The sequence below is a fragment of the Homo sapiens genome, chromosome 1, assembly GCF_000001405.40.
Source record: "Homo sapiens chromosome 1, GRCh38.p14 Primary Assembly".
NCBI lineage: Eukaryota > Metazoa > Chordata > Mammalia > Primates > Hominidae > Homo > Homo sapiens.
In genome coordinates this window covers 3,144,337-3,167,697 of record NC_000001.11, presented here as the reverse complement: position 1 = coordinate 3,167,697, position 23,361 = coordinate 3,144,337, and the positions used below count along the sequence as shown (strand labels likewise).

The window sequence follows — 23,361 nt, the reverse complement described above, 5'->3', positions numbered from 1 at the left end:
TGGCAGGAGCAGGGGGGCAATGTCACAGAGGCACTGGGAGGCAGGGGTGGGGTGGGAGGATGGCAGGAGCAGGGGGGCAATGTCACAGAGGTGCTGGGAGGCAGGGGTGGGGTGGGAGGATGGCAGGAGCAGGGGGCAATGCCACAGAGGCGCTGGGAGGAGGCTCCGGGTTGGCACCTTCTTCACCTGTGGCAGGATTCATGAGTGGGAGGCCCTTCGCCCCGGCTGCACATGAGCGCGAATGTGACCCCCGGTGACAAGCATGGGGACCTCCTCCAGCCCCCAGCCACCAGGCCCTCTTGTCCCTAACCCTGAGGCTCTCCCACGCAGGCCTGAATTCCCAGAAAACTGGGAGCAGCTTTGAGTTCTGCGGATGACGGATTTCCGGAATGGCTTTTAACGGGGTCGTTTTCAGAAATTCCTCTCACGTAAAGGGCAACTGCTGGGCTTTGTGTACAGGCTGAAGGCCTGGGAGGGACAGGGGCCTTCACCCTGGCTCCTCCTCCTCTATTTTTCTCTTGATCATATTGTTGGAAAAATCGCTTTCTCAGGCTCCCCGGTGGTAGTAGTAGTAGCCATGTAGACCAGCACCAGCTGAGCCTTCCCTGCCAGGTGCAATCCAGATCGTCCCTGTGTTCGCTCCCTGCACCTCCCTGGGAGTCCTTCTGGGGATGGAGGGCAGTTGGAGGGTGCGTGTTCAGCCTTACTGGACAGTGTCCACCGTGCGTACTCGAGCAAGTGCCTTGAGGTCTCTGGGCCTTGTAGCAGCATCTATGCAGCAGGAGAAAAACAGCACCTGCTTCGTAGGCCGCCGTGAGGACAGAGCAATTGAACCAGGGTGCACGGCCAGCGCCAGACACAGTGAGCTTCATGGCAACTCCAGTTTACCGGTGAGAACCATGGGGCCACTCAGAGAGGCAAAGAACCTCACCCGAGTGAGTCCTCTGGCTTCTCCCCACCTGGGCCGGGCCCCAGGCCGCGCTGTGGTTCCCTTTCCAGCCGTCATCCCTGGGTGATGGGAGGTGGGCATTCTGTTCAACCTTGTGGGTCAGGGAGCCAGGGCCAGTGTGCAGATGAGAAGAGGCTGCGGTTACTGGCGATGCGAGGGACTGTCCCCTTCGTGAGCACTTTCTCTTTTGAGGCCAGTGAAATGTGTTCCCTGGGGTTGTATTCCTGAGAAGGCCTCATTTAAAGGGAGCCGCCAAACCAAGTGGGCTTAGCAAAAGCAGTTTGTCACCTGGCAGCACGTGTGAGCCTCGCCCGGACGCGCCTCAGCGTTTGGCTCTCCTTGCTAGAATTGTCCACGCTCACTGTGGAAAACCTCCGAGGGTTCCCCACGGTCAGACGCCTGGCCTGTGGCACCTGGCAGGGACCCCTCGTGGGCATCGGAGTTGCCTCCGCAGAACGCCCACCACCAGACAGCCCCGTGTTTGAGCAAAGCTCTTCGGGAGCTGTTTCTCATTATTTGCTTGCATCCATTTGATTTTCTCTGCTAAGCAAAAGGCTATGGAAAAAGCCAGGCTTGGAAATCCATGATTTCCTGGCAGTTAATGAATTTCAGCCAAACGGAAAGCAAGGTGAGGTTCCCATGCGCCACTCAGACCCAGGAACAGGAAAGACCAGGGGCTAGGAGGGGCTCGCCCGCCATCCCAGGCCCCCGACATGCCCCAGGGAGCCCCTTCCCAAGCACTTGCTCACCATGCACCTTGTTGGGTCCACAACGGAATGGTGTGGTCACTGGGAGAAAAAAAAGGTGAGTCCCTGTCCCTGAGCCCAGGTGAGTCCCTGTCCCTGAGCCCAGGTGAGTCCCTGTGCCTGAGCCCTGGTGAGTCCCTGTCCCTGAGCCCTGGTGAGTCCCTGTCCCTGAGCCCAGGTGAGTCCCTGTGCCTGAGCCCTGGTGAGTCCCTGTCCCTGAGCCCTGGTGAGTCCCTGTCCCTGGGCCCAGGTGAGTCACTGTCCCTGAGCCCAGGTGAGTCACTGTCCCTGAGCCCAGGTGAGTCCCTGTCCCTGGGCCCAGGTGAGTCACTGTCCCTGAGCCCAGGTGAGTCCCTGTCCCTGAGCCCAGGTGAGTCCCTGTCCCTGAGCCCAGGTGAGTCCCTGTCCCTGGGCCCAGGTGAGTCCCTGTCCCTGAGCCCTGGTGAGTCCCTGTCCCTGAGCCCAGGTGAGTCACTGTCCCTGAGCCCAGGTGAGTCCCTGTCCCTGAGCCCAGGTGAGTCACTGTCCCTGAGCCCAGGTGAGTCACTGTCCCTGAGCCCAGGTGAGTCACTGTCCCTGAGCCCAGGTGAGTCACTGTCCCTGAGCCCTGGTGAGTCCCTGTCTCTGAGCCCAGGTGAGTCACCGTCCCTGAGCCCAGGTGAGTCCATGCCCCTGAGGCCAAGTGCAACCCTGTCCCTGAGCCCAGGTGAGTCCATGCCCCTAAGGCCAAGTGCATCCCTGTCCCTGAGCCCAGGTAAGTCACTGTCCCTGAGCCCAGGTGAGTCCATGCCCCTGAGGCCAGGTAAGTCCCTGTCCCTGGGCCTAGGTAAGCCCCACTCCTGAGCCCACGGGCGCTCACACCAGAAGACTGCCTGCCTGCTGAGTCCCTGCATGAAGGGCCAGGCAGAGGGGGGCCCGGAGCTCCTGTGACTGGCCTACCAGGCCATGCCCAGGCATCTCCCCAAGCACCATGTCACTTGGCACAGAGAGGCGCCAGCCTACCATTGGAACACGGCTGATCCCCAGGGTGGCAGGAGGCCTGTGCAGGGCGGAGGTCAGGGCTTGCACCTCTGGGGAACAAGCACGGGGCACATCTGATTCCCCACGGTGGCGACGGCCTTCCCACCTGCATCTCCCAAGGAGCTGGGGCCAGCAGAGAACGGAGGCGGGCTGGGCGGTGGGTGGAGCACTGCGACCTCCATTTCCCAACAGCCTCCCCCCGCAAACACAGCCCCTCCCCTGCACTGCTGCCGGGACACCTGACCCCATGATCACGCGGGACCGTGACCTCATTTCCCTCGCAGGTCACCTCGCTCGACCACGCCGCCTCCTAGCCCCTCGCCTGCCGTCCGCGTTTAGTGAGCAATCCCTCACACCTCCGACCATGGTTTCCAGAGACACCGAGCGGGCTACACACCGGGAAAGTTTTCTGTCCGCTCAGCAATGCCTTCGGATTGCTTATGGGATTGAGGTTAGCCAAGGGAGGCCGGGTGCAGGTTTCCAATTTGAAGACTGGAAGCCGTCCTCTTTCTGTACGTGGCCATGGCCCTCGGTGCCCTCCTGGCAGGGTCCCCCGCCTGGGTCCGAGCGAGCTGGGAAATCGTTCCCAGAAGCTGTCGGCCCAACGTCACGGCTGACATCCATCATGTTTCTAAAAATTAGAAACAAGGAGGCAAAACCTTTCAGTTTAAAAACTTTGCCTTCTCAAATTTCCTATTACACTGTTCGCCAACCCCAGGACAACCTAAAATTATTTTAAATCGCTTTTCAAACCTTACAAAACCACGAACACGGAATGATCTCCTGTGTTTCTCACGCTTTATACTTAAGCCGCTGGCCGGACGTTTGCATGGTGTGTAATTCATGAAGCGGCGGCCTCTGGAAGTTGATGGACGACACAGGCTTCAGGGCGCAGCGGGCCAGTGGCCCAGATTCAGAACAACCTGCTTTAGAGGGAAGGGGTGGCTGGCTGGATGAGGATCAGGGAACATTCCAGCAGGGCCTTGGTGGCAGCTGCGTCCCCTGGGCCCCAGGGCTCCCTTGGGAAGAGGGGGCCATGGGAGATGAAGTGAGGTTATCCATATTCGTAGGTTGCAGTCCCAGCGGCCATTATTTGGAAGAAGGGTCATCACGGATGCGATGGGTTAAGATAGCTCACCTTGCTGGGGGTGGCTCCCTTATCCAAATGACCGTGTCCTGATAAAACACGGCTCTGGACGTGAACACGCACGGGGTAGAATATGACATGCACACAGAGGCTGAGGCTGGGCGATGCTCCTACAAACTAGGGAACGCCAAAGATGCCGGCAGCCCCAGGGAGCCAGAAGGAGGCCGGGACAAGGGTTCTCAGAGCCTCCAAAGGACCGCCCCGCCCACAGCTGATCCCAGACTTCTGGCCCTGAGGACCGTGGGAGGAGAAGTATCTGTTGTTTCAGCCACTCAGGCTGGGGTACCCGGTTAGGACCTCCCCAGGAAGCTAACGCCGCGTGGGTTTTACCAACTGGCACTGCTTGACCGCTCTTACTCAACACCTACTCTGGGCTGGACCGTCAGAGGTGCTCACTCAGGCCTCCGGCTGTGCACGCCTTGGAGATCTGTGTCCTCCACCTGAATCTGAGCTTGGAACTTGATGGTTGTGCTGACTGACCCACTAGAAGGGGGTCATGCCAGGGGCTTCTGCGGACATCCCCTCTCCCAAAGCCCTCTAGACCATGCCAGGGGCTTCTGCGCACATCCCCTCTCCCAAAGCCCTCTAGACCATGCCAGGGGCTTCTGCGCACATCCCCTCTCCCAAAGCCCTCTAGACCATGCCAGGGGCTTCTGCGCACATCCCCTCTCCCAAAGCCCTCTAGACCATGCCAGGGGCTTCTGCGCACATCCCCTCTCCCAAAGCCCTCTAGACCATGCCAGGGGCTTCTGCGCACATCCCCTCTCCCAAAGCCCTCTAGACCATGCCAGGGGCTTCTGCGCACATCCCCTCTCCCAAAGCCCTCTAGACCATGCCAGGGGCTTCTGCGGACATCCCCTCTCCCAAAGCCCTCTAGACCATGCCAGGGGCTTCTGCGCACATCCCCTCTCCCAAAGCCCTCTAGACCATGCCAGGGGCTTCTGCGCACATCCCCTCTCCCAAAGCCCTCTAGAGCCGGGGGCCCTGACACCACTCCTGCGGAGGTGCCGCTTTGACCCTGGACCCTTGACCTCTCTGGCTGCCTGTGTGGCTTCGATGGTCGCACAGGCGTCACCAGGTCCCTGCCACACAGGAGGACTGGAGGGTGAAGGAGGGGGCGTGGCTGCCGACCGAGCCTGGCTCCGCGTTTTCCACACCACTCATCTGCTCCCTGATTCGCCTCCATCGGCGCACGGGCTCGCCGCTGTCAATCCTAAATGATTCACTTCCTGGGAGCCTGGTCATTTTCCAGACCAGGCCTCTCACAAAGCCAGGGAAAGGGGGTTAATAAATCCGTAATGACGACCTTCGTGGGCCTGCGACCTCAGCCGGGGGGAAGGGGCAGGAGTGGGCTCTGCTGGGCCTGCTGCAGCTCTCTTGGGAGTTGTGAATATGCTTGCTTCCCTGGGATGAGCTTTTCCATCTTCAACACACAAGCCGGCCTATCCACAGGGAAAGAAAGTGGAACCGAGGCTTCGCGGCTGCGGGAGGAGGGAGGCAGAGTCACTATTTACCGGGCACGGAGTTTCTGTGGCGGGTGATGAGAAAGTCCCGGGACTCGGGAGGAGGGACGCAGAGTCACTATTTACCGGGCACGGGGTTTTCCTGGGGGGTGACGGGAAAATCCTGGGCACAGAGAGGGGTGATGGTTCCGCAGTGGCCCGGGCATATTGAACGCCACCTAATGCCACGCTCACGGGTGGTTAAAATGACAAAGATTACATTTGTATATTTTACCACAATTAGCCCATGTGTGGTTTTGGGGTCTTGGGGTCTAGGGGGACGGGAAGGGGTGGCAGCCCCTGAGAGGTGGTGTGGAGGCCCCACGTGGAGGGGCCGAGCCACCCTGGCGACGTCCAACCGAGTGCCCTGAGCGCTGCCCGAACACGAGCAGCTCTGCCCAGGAAGCGACTCCAAACCCAATCATCTCCACTGTTTTTGTTAAACATCTTTAGGGAAGCCTGGGAGACCTGCTCTGCCGAACGTGGTCCAAATCCTCATGGAGACAGGCGCACCAGATCCTGCACCCAGGAGCTGGGACGCCGCTGGCATGGGCCTGCTTAGGACTGTTCAGGTGCCGCAAAAATCCCTCCACCAACCTCTGGTATTTCAAGAAAAAGAATCTCGAGGCTCCCGCGGCCGGGCCTGCTGGGGCTGGAGCCCTCTCTGCTGACCGGCCTCTCCGCGCCGGGCGGGCAGGGGACATTTAATTGTGGAGCTGGTGCTGGCAAGAAGCCCTGCCTGGTCCAGCGGGCAGCCAGCATGATAATGAGACAGTTTCTATGGAAATGAGCTTATAACTATTCATTTTCTCCCCATTCCCGACCCATCCACAAAGAGGTTTTCCAAAATGACCCCCATTTTCCTACCCCCAGCATCTCCTCACGCCATTGCCCGACCCGCTAATCAGCTTGAGGAGAAAGGAGAGAGGAAATGCCGTCCTTTGACAAGATGTGGGAAACCACCTCGGTTTGTACTTGGTGTGGCTGTGACCGGCAAACAAAGAACCCTCCCCGGCTCTGGGGCCAAGTTTCCAATAAACTTTTCCCTGAGCACTTTCGAGCGTGTTGTGTGTGTGTGTTTGCTGGTGAGAGCCGAAGCGCTCCTTCGCCGTCTTTTGAGAAACTTTGAAAACTGCCTGTTCTGCCGGAACTTTCCGCGCTGGCTCCTTCCTGCTCGCCTCCCTCACCTGTCAGCTGTCCTCAGCTGAGCCCCATCTTTCTCGGGAGAGGAAAGGGCTGGGGCAGGGAGTGGGGGCAGCAAAACGTCCCCTCCCGGCTCCTGCCTGAGGGTTTGGTGGAGGTGGGGGTTACCAGTCTCTGCCTTTTCCCCCCATTTCAGGGTCTCCGAATAGACGGGCAGCATTGTCAAGGGAGTAGGGGAAAATAAAGAAACGAAAGCCACCGGCTGCATCCTGCCCGAAAAACAGCTCAGGGCTCACACCCAGGCTCAGCCTCTTGCTGGCTGTGTGGCCTTGGACAAGGTGCTTGACCTCTCTGAGCCCAGCTACCCTGTCTGGAAGTGCAGGTGGCAACAGTGCCCCGCCCATGAAGCCGGGAGAAGTAAATGGGCCCATTCTTGCAGTTCCCACTGCACAGCACCTGAGGCAAAGCTGTCTTGAGCCAAGGGTCACCGTCATCATCAGGGTCTTGATGTCAGCCCCAGACGGGGTTCTAGGGCAGGGACCCAGATGGCGCTTCTCACCCAGACCATGTCCAGAGGCCTCCCCTGCACCTGCACCTCGTGGGCAGTGAAGAGGAGACTGTGTTGTTCTCTGTGACCCAAGCCATTCCCTGTCCCATCCCCTTGTGTCGCCCTTACCCTGGACAAAGCAGGAGGACACTCTGTGAGGGTCCTTGTCCTTCCTGTGCTCCACAATGTCACGGTGGCACCCAGGAATGCCCGGTGAGTTCATCAATGAGGATGATGTGGCAGCTCAGGCCAAAGCCCCCTCCCCCAGCCAGGGACTGAGACTTGCTGAGCACCAGGGACCCAGCACACCAGGTGTGGGGTCTCAGGTGGTCATACTGGAGGCGCAAATGATCCCACACCAGCCAACGGCACATCCTCCCTCCAACACATCCTGCCTGCCCAGCCCATTCAATCGACACCAGGGCAGGAACCGCGGCCTCACCGGGGATCCCCAGGGGCTGGTCCCCACAGGGCCCACCCAGCTCTGTGTGCCAAGGGCAAGGCCTCTGGCTGCGGGAGCTCAGAAATGCCCGGCTGCCCATGGCTGGTGCCCCCCATGAACTCCTGCCTGACACTGAGTGTGTGAATCTCAGCCCAACACAGCTGGGTTAGGAAATAAAAATACAGAACACCAAGTTAGTTTTGCATTTCAGATACGCGGTGGATGATTTTTTTAGTGTAAGTATGTCCCGTGAAATATTTGGGACATGCTTATACTATAAAAGTATTTGTGGTTGATCTGAAAGGTAAAGTTTACTGGGTGTCCTGTATTTTCTCTGGCACTCTGAGTCTGGACACTCCTTTCGCCTGAGCCCACTTCGATGGGGTAAGTGCCTCTCGTGGTCCCTCTGGGCAGTACCAGGTACCCCTACTAACCTCTTAGCAAGTGTTAGACCTTGACAAAATGTGTCCCAGGACAGTGTCCGGATCAGGCCACCTGGACTCCAACTCAACTTCTTCCTCCTACACACTGGCCCACCACCCACCCGTGTGGGCTGACTGTGTCCTCCCAAATTCACACCTTGAAGTCTCAATCCCCAGGATATCAGAATGGGACTGCATGTGGAGATGAGGTCTTTAAAGGGGTCATAAGGAAAAGTGAGGTCACTAGGGTGGGCCCTGATCCAATCTGACTGGTGTCCTTGTATGAAGAGGAGATGAGGACACAGACACACAGAGGGAAGGCCCTGTGAGGACACCAGAAGGAGATGCCATCTATGAGCCAAGGAGAGAGGCCTTGGGAGGAGCCAGCCTGCTGATACTGTGTCTTTGGGCCTCCCACCTCCAGATGGTGGAGGTAAGTTCCTGTTGCTCAAGCCCTGCGGTCTGCGAGGCGCATCGTGATGGCGGCCCTTGCTGGCGAATGCAGCAGTACTTCTGCAAGTGGCCTGGTGCTGCGCCGGTAACACACAGCTCAGGTGCCAGGACAGGCATCTGGCTTCGGTTCTCATGCCGCCCTGTGTACCTCCAGCCTCCCTGTCTGCTTCAGGGTCCCCCAGCCCAAGGTCTCAAGGCTGTCCCTGGCGGAATACCGATCAGGGGCTCACTTTCCATACTTCCTAAAGAAAAATCTTGGCCTGGCATGGTGGCCACACCTGCAATCCCAGCATTTGGGAGGCCAAGGCGGGTGGATCACCTGAGGTCAGGAGTTCGAGACCAGCCTGGCCAACATGGGGGAAACCCCGTCTCTACTAAAAACTACAAAACTTAGCCAGATGTGGTGGCAGGCGCCTTCCAGCTACTCGGGAGGTTGGGGCAGGGAGAATTGCTTGAACCCAGGAGGCGGGGGTTGCAGTGAGCTGAGATCAGGACACTGTACTCCAGCCTGGGCAACAGAACAAGACTCTGTCTCAAAAAAAAAAAAAGAAGGAAAGAAAAGAAAGAAAGAAAGAAAGAAAAAAGGGAAGAAAGGGAAGAAAGAAAAGGAAGAAAGAAAGAAAGAGAAAAAAAGAGAAAGAGAAAGAAAGAAAGAAAGAGAGAAAAAAGAAAAAGAAAAATCTCCAACAAACCCATCAGCTCAGTCTCCTCTTTTCCCCCCATAACAGCTGGTTGAGCCCATGGCGATGAGATTGTAAAGTCATCGTGCCTTCTCGCCATGAGAACAAAATTGAATTTTAAGATTCAAATGACTCAGCAAAAATATTGAAATATCAGTGACTTAGGTATAGGCGAGAAAATAGGTTTTAAAAATGTTTTAATTAGATTTTTATTTTGTTTTAAAATTATTTTAAATTTAATTACATTTAAATTTTAAATGAAAATTTAAATACCTCAGATGTAAATGATCACAGTACATTTTCAGCAGAAGACAAGTTTTAAAATTCAGCTGAGCCTGGCTTCCCTTTTGGGAAAGCAACCCCCTTGAGGTCAGGCCCTTTTCCCCTTCGCAGTGTGCCTCTAGAATGCCCAGAGGTCTGTTGATGGAGAGCGTGACTCGGTCAAATGAGAGAGGATCACTATCCCGTTACGGGGATGGTGGCAAGCGGGTGTGTTTGCCAATACAGAACGGGCACAACCGTGTATCAGGTATTCCACACCAGAAATCATTTATGTGTGTCTATCTATATGATGCATGCACAGGACTGAAAAAGTATACCAGATATTATCTTGAGATGAGGAGAGGCAAGGTTTTCCATTTCAAAATCTGTTTCTGTATTTTCTGCAATGAGCAGTCATTGTTTTTATCATTTGTAATTATTTTGTAATTTTCGTAATATATCTGTCCTCTGTCAAAAGAGAGGTTTAAGTGGGAGGAAGATGGCATAGTTGGTGCTGGGGCTAAAGCATCCAGCCCGGCGGTGCTGGGGGAGGCCAGATGGCCTCGGTGACCCTGGACACATCCCCAGCCTCAGCCAACCGACGAGCTCTGTCCATCTGGGTGTTGTCTCTGGGGCCATCTCCGCTAGTGGCCAAACACAGCCTCCTGTGGGTATTTGCTGAGACGCCTCCCAGTCCAGCAGGTGCGAATCTGGGAACTTTCTGGGGAAGTCTGTTCAGGCCCCACCATACTGTCCATGAACAGAGCCGACAGGTCCACTTTCCCTGTAATTCCCCACCCATGACTTCTCTGTAACCTACAGTCTCTTTTTTTTCTCATCTATCATCTCTTTTCTGCCCATAAAGACCTTATCCTACCAAACAACTGGATCTGGCCCATGTCTGTTTTCAAGAGACAATCAACCCCCAGCCCCCACAAAGGTGTTTTTTTTTTTTTTTTTTTTAATGGGATCGCAAAAGGCCTGGGAGCCTGGGGGCAGGTCCCCAGATCAAATGCTGTAAATTCAGTCAATCAATAGAATAAATGCGGTAAACACAACAAAATGCTGGCTGTGTTTGGGACGTACTTGTGTGCTGTGTATCTGAAATTCAAATTGAACTGGGTGTCCTGGATTTCATCTGCCGGATCTGGCCACGCTCCCTGAGGGCCTGAGCTCTTGCGCCGGCTCAGCGGTTGCCGAGCGGCCCTCCTTCTCCAGGTCCCGCCCTCTGAGCCGCCCAGGCTGAGCCCGGCAGGTGCTAACACTCCCTGCCCTGGGACCACCATCTGGGCGACTGGGCAGCCACGGCTGGTTCTGGCCGGCGGTCACCTCTTGGCCCTCGTGCTCAGCCCCAGCCCAGCCTCTAACCAGACACTCACTGGCTTACAGCTTGCACCACACGCTAACTCCATAGTCCTACAGCACCCTCCGTCCTGACACGCTGGGAGACCCCGTGTCCCCACCGAGGCAGCTGGAGGCCGCCCCAGAGCTGACGCCCCCACCTGCTTCTCTCAGGCCACACGGTTGGTGCAGAGGCTCAGACAGAAGCCACTTCCTCTGCTTCCCCCCTCGAAGAGCTAAAAGCAAAAGCCCATGTGGGCCCTGGGACTCTGGCTTTGAGCTGTGGCCACTGCTTGAGCCGGGCAGGGGCTGGGTAGTGAGCCTGACCTGGAGCTGAAGGACGGAGGCTTCTCTGAACGGGTCCAACCTTCTCTGGTCTGGAGAAAAAATTCCCAAAGCAGATTTGTTTCCCTCCTTCCCAGTTCCTGTCAGTTAAAAATCATCTAGAGAGAGAGAGGGAAACCTCCAAATGCATAGCTCCTGCCTCTACCAGGAGGAGGGGTGACAGCAAACAAAACCCCTCCAAACTAGAAAACCATTTTGTCCTTCTTTTGGGGGTATATATTTGGCTTTGGGTCCATCCTTCTTCTTAAGGATAGGCATTGACTTAAATCCAGCCATAAAAATAGAAGCAATGGCTACTTTTACCTCCGCAGGCAGAGAGAGGATTTGCTGCAGAAATCACCTTTGACCATTTCCCTCCAAGAATCATTTCCCCCAAAGTCACCTAAAATCAAACCGATCACAATTAACACTCAAAGTGGCCACCATCAAACGCGTGGAAACTGTCCTGCTGCCCGGGAGCCCTGCAGACAGCCCCATCTGTTGCTCAGAGCAGCCCGGGACCCTCATTCTATCACGGCTCAAAGTAGGTTATCTAAATAAATGGGAGAGGAAATCAACGAGATATATTAGCAAGGTGGGATATTTGTCATCTCCTCTGTCTTTCCTTCCCCAAGAATATCGGTGATGAATTTGCAAATGGTCCTGGATTATGACAGAGCTGTTTTCTCTCTTCATTATTTATCCCTTCTCTGAGCACCTCGATTAGAGACCACAGTGACAAATGCATGAATAAAAGGCAAAGACAATATTTTAGCAATGTGTTGTAAATCTCCTTCTACGCATTATTAATTTAAAGAAATCCATTACACCGAGCAGCTCTGAAGAGGAAGACAAGGGTAACGCAGGGGTGCCTGCTGCTCTGGAGGGTCAGGGAAAGGAAAAGCAAAATCAGCTGCGTCCCTGAGCTGAGGCCAGGCTGGTCTCTCACTGAATCCCCGAAGCCTTGCAACCACCTAGATTTTATTTGAATAAAAGGTGAAACATTTGCTCCCCCAAACGCAAGCACATTTTGCAAAGTGGAAAACGGCGCTGTTTGAAATGATCTCATTTTTCAGGAGCGGGGAAGGCGAGGCCGGCGGCCGTGCTGGGAGCCTGCGGCCCTCCCTCCTCCGGGTGAGACGCGGCAACGCTGCTGTATCGGGAGGAAGGAAAAAGGAAAACAGATGGAAGGTGCTGGTCGCAGGAGCAAGTGCCTCGGGAACAATGGAGGGGCCCCTTTTCTGCTCCCTCAGAGAACACCACGGTGCAAATCTGTGTACAGCGATACCACCAACCACGCAGATAACAGGGCAATAACACCGCAAACCCGAACCCAAGTCCTCGCGGAGACCATGCTAATCGGGCGAAGCCACACGGCAGCCGCGGCCAAGCCCTGCAGCCTGGATTTTCTTTCCCCTATTTTATTTTCTTTCAAAACCCTCCAAGAAAGGAGCCATGGGCCCCGGGTCCCACCGCCTGCCTTGGCCGGTGTTTGAGCCAGCTCTGGACGCCTCCGGAGAGATGCCTCTCCCGGGGCCCTTCCTGGAGAGGTCCGCAGGACGGCAGCCTCTCTCCAATCTGGGGTCCCTAAGGAAGACTCCAGAGCCCCTGAGAGGTCGGGGGGATGCCAGGCTGGCCCCTAGAGCTTGGTACCCACATGGAGCACCCCCTGGAGTTTGATGTGAGGCCTCAGGGCCCACAGGCAGGCTTCAGGGTCTGGGAAGAAACAGTCTGTTTCTACCAGGGATGGCGGGGTCGGTTCACACAAAATCTCCATTCACCCACATGAACCAAAGGCTTGCTTTGGTGTCTTGCTTTGTTTTTTAAGACAGAATTTGAGTTTCTTTTTCATTTGCTTAGACTGATGATCCCCCTCCTTATGAAGCAAAGGGATTTTTCTAGCAGTTTTTATACTTGCTACCCACTACCCCCTGACCCAGGGTTCCTGGTAGAGGAGTGAGAACGGCCTGGGGGTCAGCAGCGGTCAGCCCACATCTCAACCAGGGCTCCATGCCTTCCTCCACCGCGACCAGCACCAAGGTCTCCTCGCCAGTGCAGGATGCCCGGCCGACTGCGTGAAGCTGGAATGGTGCCCGTGCAGGGACCTTAAGAACACCAGGAAACCCAGCTTGGGCCATGGGGGCCAAGGGAAAGTGGGAAGGGCCATGGGGGCAGGAGGTCTGGGGCATGAGGCAGGAAGGCCATTCCTGGAGGCGGGAGGAGTGTGCTGCCCACAGCTCCATGCTGCAGCCCCTGGGAAGCCCTTGGCCGTCCTGACAACGCCTCCACCTGGCATCCTTCTCCTTGAAGTTTCAAGTTATTCCTATAGAATGTGCAAAGCTGCCACAGCGACAGGCAGCTCCGTCGCCTCCTGTAACTGCCCACCCAGAGGGGATGGGAGTGCTCCCTCAAAAGCGTCCCCCTGCCCCCCCACCACGCCGCCCAGGGAGAGTGCGCCAGCCCGTGGTGACAGCGCCAGTCCGTCCACTTAGGGATACGGTGGTGGATCTCCATGGCAGATCCTAACGACTTGTCACAGGCACGACCGTGGCAGGTCCCGGTGACAGCCACAGCGGTGCACATGGGAAACAGCAGCAGGGCCCAGTGGGACCCGGCAGCTCTAAGATCAGAAACTCACAGACAAAGGGCCGCAGATTGGGAGAGTGCACGGGAAGGGGAGCGCCGTCCCTGGGCTGATTTTACTGTATTTTCCGTGCGTCAGCCTAATTGCTTCAGAAGCTGTGGCTTTCTTTAACGTGGAGCTCGCAAAGGAAGCCTCCCTGGTAACATGTGAAATCAAAAGTTGGATCTCTACGTAGATATGCACGTATTAATTTGCATTTTGTAAGACAAGTGCTGCATGTTATTAATATAATTACTGGTTATAGAAACTGTGTATTTACTGCGTTTTCTATATTACTTTGCGTTCCACGCTTCTCAATGGTGCGGGTTTAATATTCAGCTGGTGTTTACTTAGCATATGACTGTTAATCAGTGTAAATTAAATGTGTACTTGAAACCCCCACTTAAAGCTCAGCTAATTATTTTTTGATCCAAACAGGACTGCCTTTTCCGGAAGGGTGAATCGGGGCTCTCTGGGACCAACTCATAGCGAGAGAAACTGTTGCCAGCGTTGAGGACCAGCCTCCAAAAGACACCCGGCAATTGTCCTTGCCCCGTTTCTCCTGCAGCACATGATGGATTGCTTCCAGGGGAGCCCCGCTCTGGTCCAGCCTGGGGACCGCGCTGTGGGGAGCTTCTCTTCCTGGGGAACCGCCCGCCCGTCCTGTCTAGCCGCACATGGACCACTTTGCCAGCACAGTGCAAACCATGTGGCTTCAACACTGGTTCAGACACATGTGTAGACACACACAAGCACACACATGTGCACACCCAGCCCAGGGCTCCGGGGCCTGCTTTAGCTCCCCAGGCCCACGTTCCTCACCTGCCTGGCCCAGACCCTGCCTGGCCCAGAGCTCACCACTCCAGAGCTATTGCCTGAGGACACGGAGCTACAGGGGTGAGGAGGGCTGCAGATCCCTCAGGTGGCAGGGGAGGGGTCACCATGCACCAAACAGGGAGGCCAGGTGGGGGCAACCCCTGTTCCCACTCAGAAGAAAAGAGGAGCAGATCTGAGCACCGCTGGAGCTGGAGCTGGCTCTGGCCTGGCTGGCCCCGGCCCCAGGCTGACTGGTTCACTCCTCTGGTCTGGTGATTCCTGGGCACCTCCCTGACTAGGGGCCCTTTAGAAATGACCCCTGTTAGTTTGTTCTCCTGGGAGCCGTCCTCAGAGCCTGTCTTCTGGTCTGGGCTTGGTAGAGGGGAGAGAGGGCACAGCAGGAAAGCAGGCACCAAGGATGGGCCCAAGCCTCTGGACAAAACCCCTCCTGCCTGAGGACGGGGACCTCCTGGGGCTCAGGCCATGGCCTCAGGCATCTCTGAAGCCAAGGACCCACGCTATGGCTGAGTCCATGCAGCCCTCCCCAGGGGACCTGGCCCAGCCACGCATCAGAAACCAGATGGACGACGGACGGCAACATAGCCTTGTCCTGAGGAGCCACTGGCCCTTGCTCTTAGAGACCTCATGGGGAAGTGTAACTTCCTGAGCAACATGCTCCCTGCCATAGGAGGCAGCACCGTAGACCAGTGCCATCTCTATAAAAGAGGTCAGAACCCCTCCAAGCCTTCATTTCTTCTTTGGGAGATGGGATCTAATTTAGAGAGTCTGCTCAGAGGATTCAGGAGCCAGAGAGTAGCCACTGCTTGGCAGGTTGAGACAGCCAGTATATCTCCATGGATGGATGGATGGATGGATAAATGGATGGATGGATGGATAAATGGATGGATGGATGGATGGATGGATGGATGGATGAATGCATAGATAAATGGATGGATGGATGGATGGATGGATGGATGAAAGGAGGGATAAATGGATGGATGAATAAAAACTGCCTCAAAGCTAGGTTCCAAATGGGGCCTAACTTGGCATTGCCCCAGATTCTGAATCAGGAATTCTCAGAGACTCCTGCCTTCCCCACCTTCACCATCACAGCAGCAGCTATGGCAAGATGCCCCCAGAGCCACAGCAGGGACTCCAGCCACGTCCATGCTCAGCCTATGTCTGGTCTTGTTTTGGATCCTGTACAAACCTCAGTGAGGATGAGGCCATTCTGAGCAATGTGCCACGGGGCCGAGTGGTGACCAGCACAGCTTCAGGAAGCACCACGCAGAGGACAGAGCAGACTCCCACCCACCAGACCCCTGTTCTCTCCAAGAGTGGGATGTCTCGGCCCAAAGGCATGTTCCCATTTCTGAGATTTAAAAGCCACAGTTGGCTGGAAGGTGCTCCAGAGACAGGGGGCACAGGCCACACACAACGTCCGTGATGACTTCCCACAGTCCCAGGGTGAAAGCTGACCCTGCCGGCCCACAGTTGGGCTCTCTTCTCCGGGAGTGGAGAATACAGTGAGCCGTGTATTCTCAGCCGTGAAGCTGAGCTCTTGTCTAATGCACGCCCGGCCACTCAGACACTCTGGCAGAAGCCAGTGCTGTGGGCGGCCTCCCAGAACGGCGGTGGGGCTAGCAGTGTCGACGCTGGCCTCTGCCCCAGGTCCTGGCTGGACACAGCTCACACGTGCTGCCTAGGAATCAGGTAAATCTCACCTCTGCTTTATCCACAGGCAGATGGAAGTCTGATCAGAACACACCCTCTGGGAAGCCTGTTAGTAAAAGGAGGAAGGGTACCCACATGGAACTACCTAGAGTGAGCCTGTTGGCCCATGGCCTGGCTGGGCAAGGTGGACCCCACAGCCACTTTCCCTGTCCCTCGCCTTGCAGCGGAGTCTATTCCCAGGAGGAACTGAGTGTAGGGTGTTCCCTAATCCCTAACCCAAGGAAGAGCCCCCGAAAAGGACCCTGCTCGTCCCCACTTCTGTCTGGACTCTGGGGAGTTTTGGACCTTGGTCGAGCCTTCTCTAGACCAGATGGGGGTACAGAGTGTGCCCCAGGGCCCTGCCCCCATGCCCAGCGAGGGGACAGACACTGACTCAATTTGTTGTACCCAGAGACAAAGGCAACTGGGAAGCTAAGCTACGCAGGAGGCACAGAGATATCTCAGGACCAGGAGGCCCAGGGGTCCCGCCACCTCCCCGAGGGTGGCTGCTGGAGGACCAGCCCCCGGCTTCCATAGCTCTAGGACCAGCCCCCCATTTCCATAGCTCTAGGACCAGCCCCCCGTTTCCATAGCTCTAGGACCAGCCCCCCGTTTCCATAGCTCTAGGACCAGCCCCCCCGTTTCCATAGCTCTAGGACCAGCCCCCCCGTTTCCATAGCTCTAGGACCAGCCCCCCCGCCCCCACCCGGCCTCCATAGCTCTTGCAGCTCTGTGCTTTCCCTCCCACTCCCATGGGCTTCAGAGACCAAAAAGTAAGGAGGAAGCTCAAACGTCCCCAACGGCCAACTGGCGACTGGAAAAACTCTGAGTTCCCCTGTGTGTTTGAAGCTCGAGTCTAAATGACCAGATTCTTGGGAGGGTGGGCAGGTGTGCACCAGAGATGCCAGGGAAAGGGGAGTCCGCAGTGGGTGGCACTGTGTCTGTGTTTGGACTAGAGACTGAAAACCTCCATTTTTATTTTATCTTTTTATTTTATTTTACTTTATCTTTGAGATGGAGTCTCGCTCTGTCACCCAGGCTGGAGCGCTGTGGCGCAATTTCGGCTCACTGCAATCTCCGCCTCCTGGGTTCGAGTGATTCTCCCACCTTACCTCCCAATTAGCTGGGACTACAGGCACGGGCCACCACGCCCAGCTGATTTTTTTTTTTTTTTTTTTTGAGATGGGGTTTTACCATGTTGGCCAGGCTGGTCTCGAACTCCTGACCACAAGTCACCTGCCCAACTTAGCCTCCCAAAGTGCTGGGATTACAGGCGTGACCCACTATGCCCGGCCCCAAACCTCAATTTTTAGATAGCCAAGGGCCAAGTGTCAGACCCACAGCTTTCCTTTTACAGACAAGGAAACAAGTTCTGGAAGGTTACATGGCTCTCCCAAAGCCATCCCCCTACGCAGTGCGAGGCTTGTAAAGTTCGCCTGTGCGTTCGGGGGGATTCCAGCAGATTCAGGAGGGATGTCTGTGCCCTGTCCTGGTGTCCAGGGTGACCCGTGTCCTCTCCTCAGGGCAGGAGCCATGACAGGAGATGGACACGCCCCAGCCAGTGTCCACTTGTCCTGGCCTCTTGGTCCATCGTGGCAGAGCCTGGATAACCCCGGGGCTCCTGCCTCCTTGAACCTTGTCCAGGCCCAACAGGAACTAGGCAGCTTCAAAAGTAACAGCAGGAGTACACGCATCTCAGAAAACCCGTGTCCCTGGCCTTAAGCTTGGATGAGTAGGGCGGGTGGATTGCTGTGTCCCCAGCCAGCCCAGGAGCCTCCCTCCCTCCTGAGCGGTGAAGGTGGATGGATGGAGGAAATGGTAATTAACAAGGGAACTGGCCGGTGCTCCTTCCTGATGAAATAAAATTCAGCACCATCTTGCATAAAAGGGCATTCCCTAACTGTGGGCCAGGGGCTGCCTGAGGCTTCACAAATGCCAGCCTGGCTCATTGAGTGGTAAACCCAGGAAGACAGCATGGATTCCTGGCCTCCGTCAGCTGGGAGCACCCACGGCTCCCTGCAGAGGCCCAGGCGGAGTCTGGATACACAGGTATGCACCCTTGTGTAGACTGACGTCCTCAGCCAGGAGTGGCAGGGCAGGGCAGGCCTGCAGGCACCCACAGCACCTCGTGTGGGTAGACCTCATAGTGGGGGTCCCAGGCTGTCTGCCCCCACCCGGGGCTCAGTTCTCCCCATCCGACTCTGGCCCCCTGCCTCCTGGTTTTGGGAATCTCGGAGCCACTGGAAGCCATCCTGCCACCCTAGACCTGCCTGCTTCATCTTCTTCAGGAGGAAGGAGCTGTGGGTTTGGGGCTTTCATTCTCACCCGTGTTCTCCATCCTCCAGTGGCTGCCCCTGCCACAAGGCTGACAATATCTCATGCAGGCTCTTTGCCCAGGCTCCATGCCCCCCACCCCCAGGCTTGCTGTGACTCTCGTACCCCTGTCCCCCACTGTTTCCATCTCTCCCAGCTTGCCAGTGCCCTTGCAATAAGGAATCCACAGAGGCAGAGAACCAAGGAAGAGTGGTGGGGAGCTGGGGACAGAAGCCGGGGTGGCCAAAGCCGGAGGGCCCCTGGGATGGGGGGCTCCCATGACCCCCCTGATACCAGTAGAGCTGGGCTCCAGCCCTTCCCCACTGCCCCTCCTCCAACATTTCCTCCGCAACTGGGATCCTCCTTTTTTGGAACGATGAACCCCCACAACACACTAAATCTTAAAAATAAATTAACAAACATCCTGGCTTTCTAGAAGGACTTTCAACATGTGCTAAGTAAAGTGGGGATGGATTTGGGGATTTTAGAGAGATATTGTGGTCCCCCCATGGTCCCAGGCAGTGCCCAGATTCACCACCCTTTGGCTTTGGGCCGCTGCTCTGACACAAACTGGACTTCCAGAAGGACTGGGCTGGCTCGGCCAGGACAAGTCACCGCCCACCTGAGATGGGATCTGAGCCCCGTGAGCGTCAAGGAGGTCCCAGCAAGGAGTTGACATCTCCTGGATTGTAAAATCCTGACGCTGCTCCCCAGGGCTGGGCCACCACTATGGGGAGCTGCCCCCTCAGAAGCAGGGAAGGTGAGGCAGGGGTTCCACCTGCTGCGGGTGAGTGGCTGGATGCACCCAATGCCTGACACCCAGCCCAGCCCAGCCCTGCCGGACAGCTCCTTCCTCACCTCTGGCCACTGGCCCTCCTGCAGCTCCTGGCTCCTGGGTTTGCAGGGCTGCCTGGTGAGGGACACCCCTAGAGTAAACCCCTGGGCGGCCACCTGTGGCTGCTCTGTCCTGGCACCCGACCTGCTCTCACCAGGGCCACCAGGGCATGAGATTGCACCCAGGACATGAGATTGCACCCAGGGCATGAGATTGCACCCAGCTTCTTCACTCATCCGGGGGCTCCTTCCCACCTCTCAGCCCAGCCCCTCCCACAAAACCGTCCTGATGCCCAACCACACCCCACCACCTGCAACTGAGGCGGACAGAGGGCCCCCGAGAGAAGACGCCAAAGGCCGAACTTGAATCTGAATGCATCTCGGTATTCCCAAGTTGCAGGTGAGCAGCAGGATGGGGTTTGCCGCAGGATGGGGTTCAGAGAATGGGGTTTGAGGTCAATGCAGAATCAGAGACTGTCAGCGCAGTGAGGGGTTTTCCACATAGCCTGGCCCAGTGCATCTGAACCCCTCTGCTCTGGCTGGGGCGAGAGGGGCCAGTATCAGCTCTCAGCCTGCCCCATGGCCTGGAGGAACCTCAGATTCACCTCTGGCTGCCTCCTCTCCTGGCCCAAGCCCCAGGCTTACAGATGAGGACCCAAGAACCCTGGGGGAGGTGGCCTGACTGAGGCCGCCCAGGGTATGGATGGCCTGTTGGACAGGAGCCAAGTCCTGGGTGCCCAGATCCTTGCTTGGGACCGGTGCTGTGTGCGACGCAGAACCAAGATGTGCCTTGGCCTCCCCAAAGAGTCCAAGGTCAAGATTTGGGGTCTCATTCTTCACAAAGACCATGCAGGGCAATGATGATAGTTTCCAGACACTGGAGATCCCATTTCTCAAAGAGAAGACAGCAGAAATAGCCTCAGGGCGACGGAGTCCACAGTCGGACATCTCAGCACAGGCGGACAGCACAGATACACTGCCCAGGGCACCTGGTCGGAGGCCCCAGTCTCCCTGTGGATGTCTGAGCTCTGCCTGAGGATGATTTGCCAGTGAAAGGGACAGGGACGGCAAACAGGCCCAGGTGCACCCACGTCACACACCCCAGACCTCAAGGCTTTCTTTTCCTTCTAAGTCCAGAATTATCCAGCACTGATGATGCCTCCTCACGCCCCAACTTAGAAGTGAATGCACACGTGTGCACACACACCCCACACTGAACACACACGTCCACACCCACACCGAGCACACACGTGCGTGCACACACCTCACACCGAGCACACACATGCACACACACACTCCATACCGAGCACACGCGTACACACACCCCACACCGAGCGCACACATACACACACCCCACACTGAGCACACACGTGCACACACACCCCACACCGAGCACACACGTGCGCATACCCCCCACACCAAGCACACACATGCACACACACCCCACACCGAGCACACGTGCACACATACCCCCCACACTGAGCACACACGTGCACACACACCCCCCCACACTGAGCACACACATGCACACACACCCCACACCAAACACACGTGCACACACACCCCACACTGAGCACACACGTGTGCACACACACACTCCATACTGAGCACACACGTACACACACCCCACACCGAGCACACATGTGCACACACACCCCCTACACCGAGCACACACGTGCACTCACACAACCCACACCGAGCACACATGTGCAGACACACCCCACACCAAACACACGTGCACACACACCCCACACTGAGCACACACGTGCACACACACACCCCATACCAAGCACATGCACACACACCCCCCACACTGAGCACACACGTGCACACATATGCCCCACACCGAGCACACATGTGTACACACCCCACACCGAACACACGTGCACACACACCCCACACCGAGCACACACACTTGCACACATATACACCCCAACCAAGCACACATGTGCGCACACCCCACACTGAACACATGTGCACACACACCCCTCACACCTTTGACAACGGATGGCAAGGCAGCACAATGGTTTTAAGCAGATCATTTTTATGAATTGCTTCTGGTTGGATTTGTGAACGGTTTATATGATTATCCCCATGCCCAGTTGTTTATCTTTTTCAAAGAGAATGTGGCTGTTAGCGGGGAGGCCCCCCCCACCCCAGATGAAGTCAGCGAACGTTCATTGGTTAGCGGGCCCCCCCGTTTCCACCCTCCGAGGGTAAGGAGTTGGGGTGGGCGGTGCAGAAGGCGGCAGAATATCCCAAATGTGCGGGGGCTGGAGAGTCTGCAGTGCAGCAGAGCCCTGATGCCCACGTGTGCTGTGTGTGGGGGTGTGTCTAAATGTTTTCCTGCTCGGCCAAACCCTCTGTCCCGCAGAAAACGGGTCCTCATTGCGTCCCTAACGGGGCCCAGGAGGCCTGATACCCGCGGTGAGGCGTGTGAGTCCCGAGGCGCTGCTCACACCTTGCGAATTTCTGTGACCCGGGGGGCGCCGGGGGACCTCTCCAGGACGTCAGCCTGACCCCGGGCTGACCGGGCTGCCCACCTGCTGGGGCGATACAGAGTCAGACCTCACTCAGAAAAATTAGATAATTAAATGGACCCCGACTAGATAAATTGCACTTTCTTAATGAGGTTATCGGGAGCCTCGGTGGGCAGGAATGACCTCACTGTCTGCATAGCTGATAGCCCAGCCAGAGCGCTTTCTACAGGGGTGGAAGTGAGAGACCGGGAGCGGGTGGGGCGGGTGAGTGAAGCACGTCCTGACTGTACGGACCACGCAGGACACACATCTCTGCAGGAGGCTCATGGCTCTGTTCTGCTGTGGAATTTCACTGCTGCACCACGTGGAGAGGGACCAGAGCCCTGGATGCAGCTGGGTCAGGGGACTCTCGGGAGAAGCCCCCTGGGGTGGCCTGGGAACTTCCCCTGGGGACTCTCCAGTCCAGGCTGCCGTCCAAGGCCCCGTTCCTCCTTCCAGGGCTGCAGAGGCAGGGCTGGGGAACACCCAAAAGCACAGTGTGGCCACCTGGCCCTGGAGTGTCAGAGGTCACTGGCCAGTGGGCTCAGGGCCCAGGTCGCCAGCTGCAGGCCCCTGAAGAGCCACCCCGTATCCCATGGCAATGGTTTACGGGCTGACAGGTGCTTTGAGGAACTGACACCGTGCCGCATGCACCCTCTCCATCTGCACGTGGACGTTCCTAGATAGCAACCAGGAGCTCAAACCCAAAGAGGGGTGGGGGCGGTTTCCTGCTGACACCAGGCACACGGCTCCTAGGAAGCCTGGCTGGGTGGCATGGACGATCACCTGCCAGGTCAGCCCCTGCGTGGGGCCTACTTGGGCTGGCTCCACAGACATCCAAGTGCAGGGACATCTAGGGTGTTCCTTCCAAGACGAGTGGGCAGAGGGGCTGAGGCTGCTCCCAGCATTTCTCGCTCAGGTGACCTCACCTGAAGCCGCACAGGGGTTCCTGAGGCCCTGGGGGTTCACTGGGAGGTGGGAGGAGAGAGTGAGGACCTCTGGGTTTACCTGACTGCCAGCCCAACCCTTACCTGGTGGCCAAGAGCAGAAGGGCCCCCTGACCCAAGGTGACTGAGACATGTGTGTATCTCTGCTTTCTGGTCTCAGGGCATTCTTGAGACCTCCAAATTTAGGGGAAAGAAAGAGCCCTTTACTGGGGGTGACCCCGTGCAGGGGCTGAGCTGGGCGGCTGGGTGCATAGCCCATCTGTAGCCTAAGCAATGGTGCAAAGCCCCCACGCCTTGGTTTCCTCTCCTGAACGCGGGCACACAGAGCACCATCTCGCAGGGTGCTGTGGGGTCTACAACTGGCAGGTACAGAGAGTGAGGGCTTCACACAGCTCATGGCCACCCCCTCCCCCACCCACCCCAAGGTCATCCACCTCAGAGTGGAGCTGGGAAGGCAGAGGCTGGGTCAGCCCTGGACACCTGGATACGCCCTGCCTGGGACCTGGCCGAGTGGGAATGACCCTGACCATTTGGAGGGAACTGTGGGATCTGTGAGTCAGGGACTGTCAGCCCCTCTCTGCAGACAGGGCAGCTGGGATGGGGAGGAGCCTTTCCCAAA

General features: G+C 56.9%; 1 protein-coding gene and 1 long non-coding RNA gene across 3 annotated transcripts in view, besides 6 other annotated features; one reads left to right on the top strand and one right to left on the bottom strand.

Moving 5' to 3' along the window:
* The window catches only part of PRDM16 (PR/SET domain 16), a 369,419-nt gene that overhangs the window by 270,924 nt on the left and 75,134 nt on the right, over nt 1-23,361 (bottom strand). The window lies entirely within an intron of this gene.
* LOC105378606 (uncharacterized) lies at nt 803-6,417 on the top strand. Its single transcript, XR_007065437.1, has 3 exons — nt 803-890; nt 5,818-5,936; nt 6,238-6,417. It is a non-coding gene; the product is annotated as an uncharacterized LOC105378606 (long non-coding RNA).
* Nucleotides 2,667-3,866: an enhancer, noted in NCBI's record as "CDK7 strongly-dependent group 2 enhancer chr1:3080396-3081595 (GRCh37/hg19 assembly coordinates)". NCBI's record gives its function as "activates an origin of replication core promoter dependent on BRD2, BRD4, P300/CBP, MED14 and CDK7 cofactors, with strong dependence on CDK7, by STARR-seq in HCT116 cells {active_cell/tissue: HCT116}" and the evidence as "EXISTENCE:reporter gene assay evidence [ECO:0000049][PMID:35650434]".
* Nucleotides 12,998-13,497: an enhancer, noted in NCBI's record as "H3K4me1 hESC enhancer chr1:3070765-3071264 (GRCh37/hg19 assembly coordinates)". NCBI's record gives its function as "activates a minimal SCP1, AML or CMV promoter by ChIP-STARR-seq in naive H9 embryonic stem cells {active_cell/tissue: H9 hESC(naive)}" and the evidence as "EXISTENCE:reporter gene assay evidence [ECO:0000049][PMID:30033119]".
* Nucleotides 13,498-13,999: an enhancer, noted in NCBI's record as "H3K4me1 hESC enhancer chr1:3070263-3070764 (GRCh37/hg19 assembly coordinates)". NCBI's record gives its function as "activates a minimal SCP1, AML or CMV promoter by ChIP-STARR-seq in naive H9 embryonic stem cells {active_cell/tissue: H9 hESC(naive)}" and the evidence as "EXISTENCE:reporter gene assay evidence [ECO:0000049][PMID:30033119]".
* Nucleotides 17,667-18,167: an enhancer, noted in NCBI's record as "H3K4me1 hESC enhancer chr1:3066095-3066595 (GRCh37/hg19 assembly coordinates)". NCBI's record gives its function as "activates a minimal SCP1, AML or CMV promoter by ChIP-STARR-seq in naive H9 embryonic stem cells {active_cell/tissue: H9 hESC(naive)}" and the evidence as "EXISTENCE:reporter gene assay evidence [ECO:0000049][PMID:30033119]".
* Nucleotides 21,095-21,957: an enhancer, noted in NCBI's record as "H3K4me1 hESC enhancer chr1:3062305-3063167 (GRCh37/hg19 assembly coordinates)". NCBI's record gives its function as "activates a minimal SCP1, AML or CMV promoter by ChIP-STARR-seq in naive H9 embryonic stem cells {active_cell/tissue: H9 hESC(naive)}" and the evidence as "EXISTENCE:reporter gene assay evidence [ECO:0000049][PMID:30033119]".
* Nucleotides 21,950-22,119: an enhancer, noted in NCBI's record as "experimental_6604 CRE fragment used in MPRA reporter constructs". NCBI's record gives its function as "activates a minimal promoter by MPRAs in K562 erythroleukemia cells, with activity observed for both the introgressed and non-introgressed 1:3062228 variant alleles {active_cell/tissue: K562}" and the evidence as "EXISTENCE:reporter gene assay evidence [ECO:0000049][PMID:34662402]".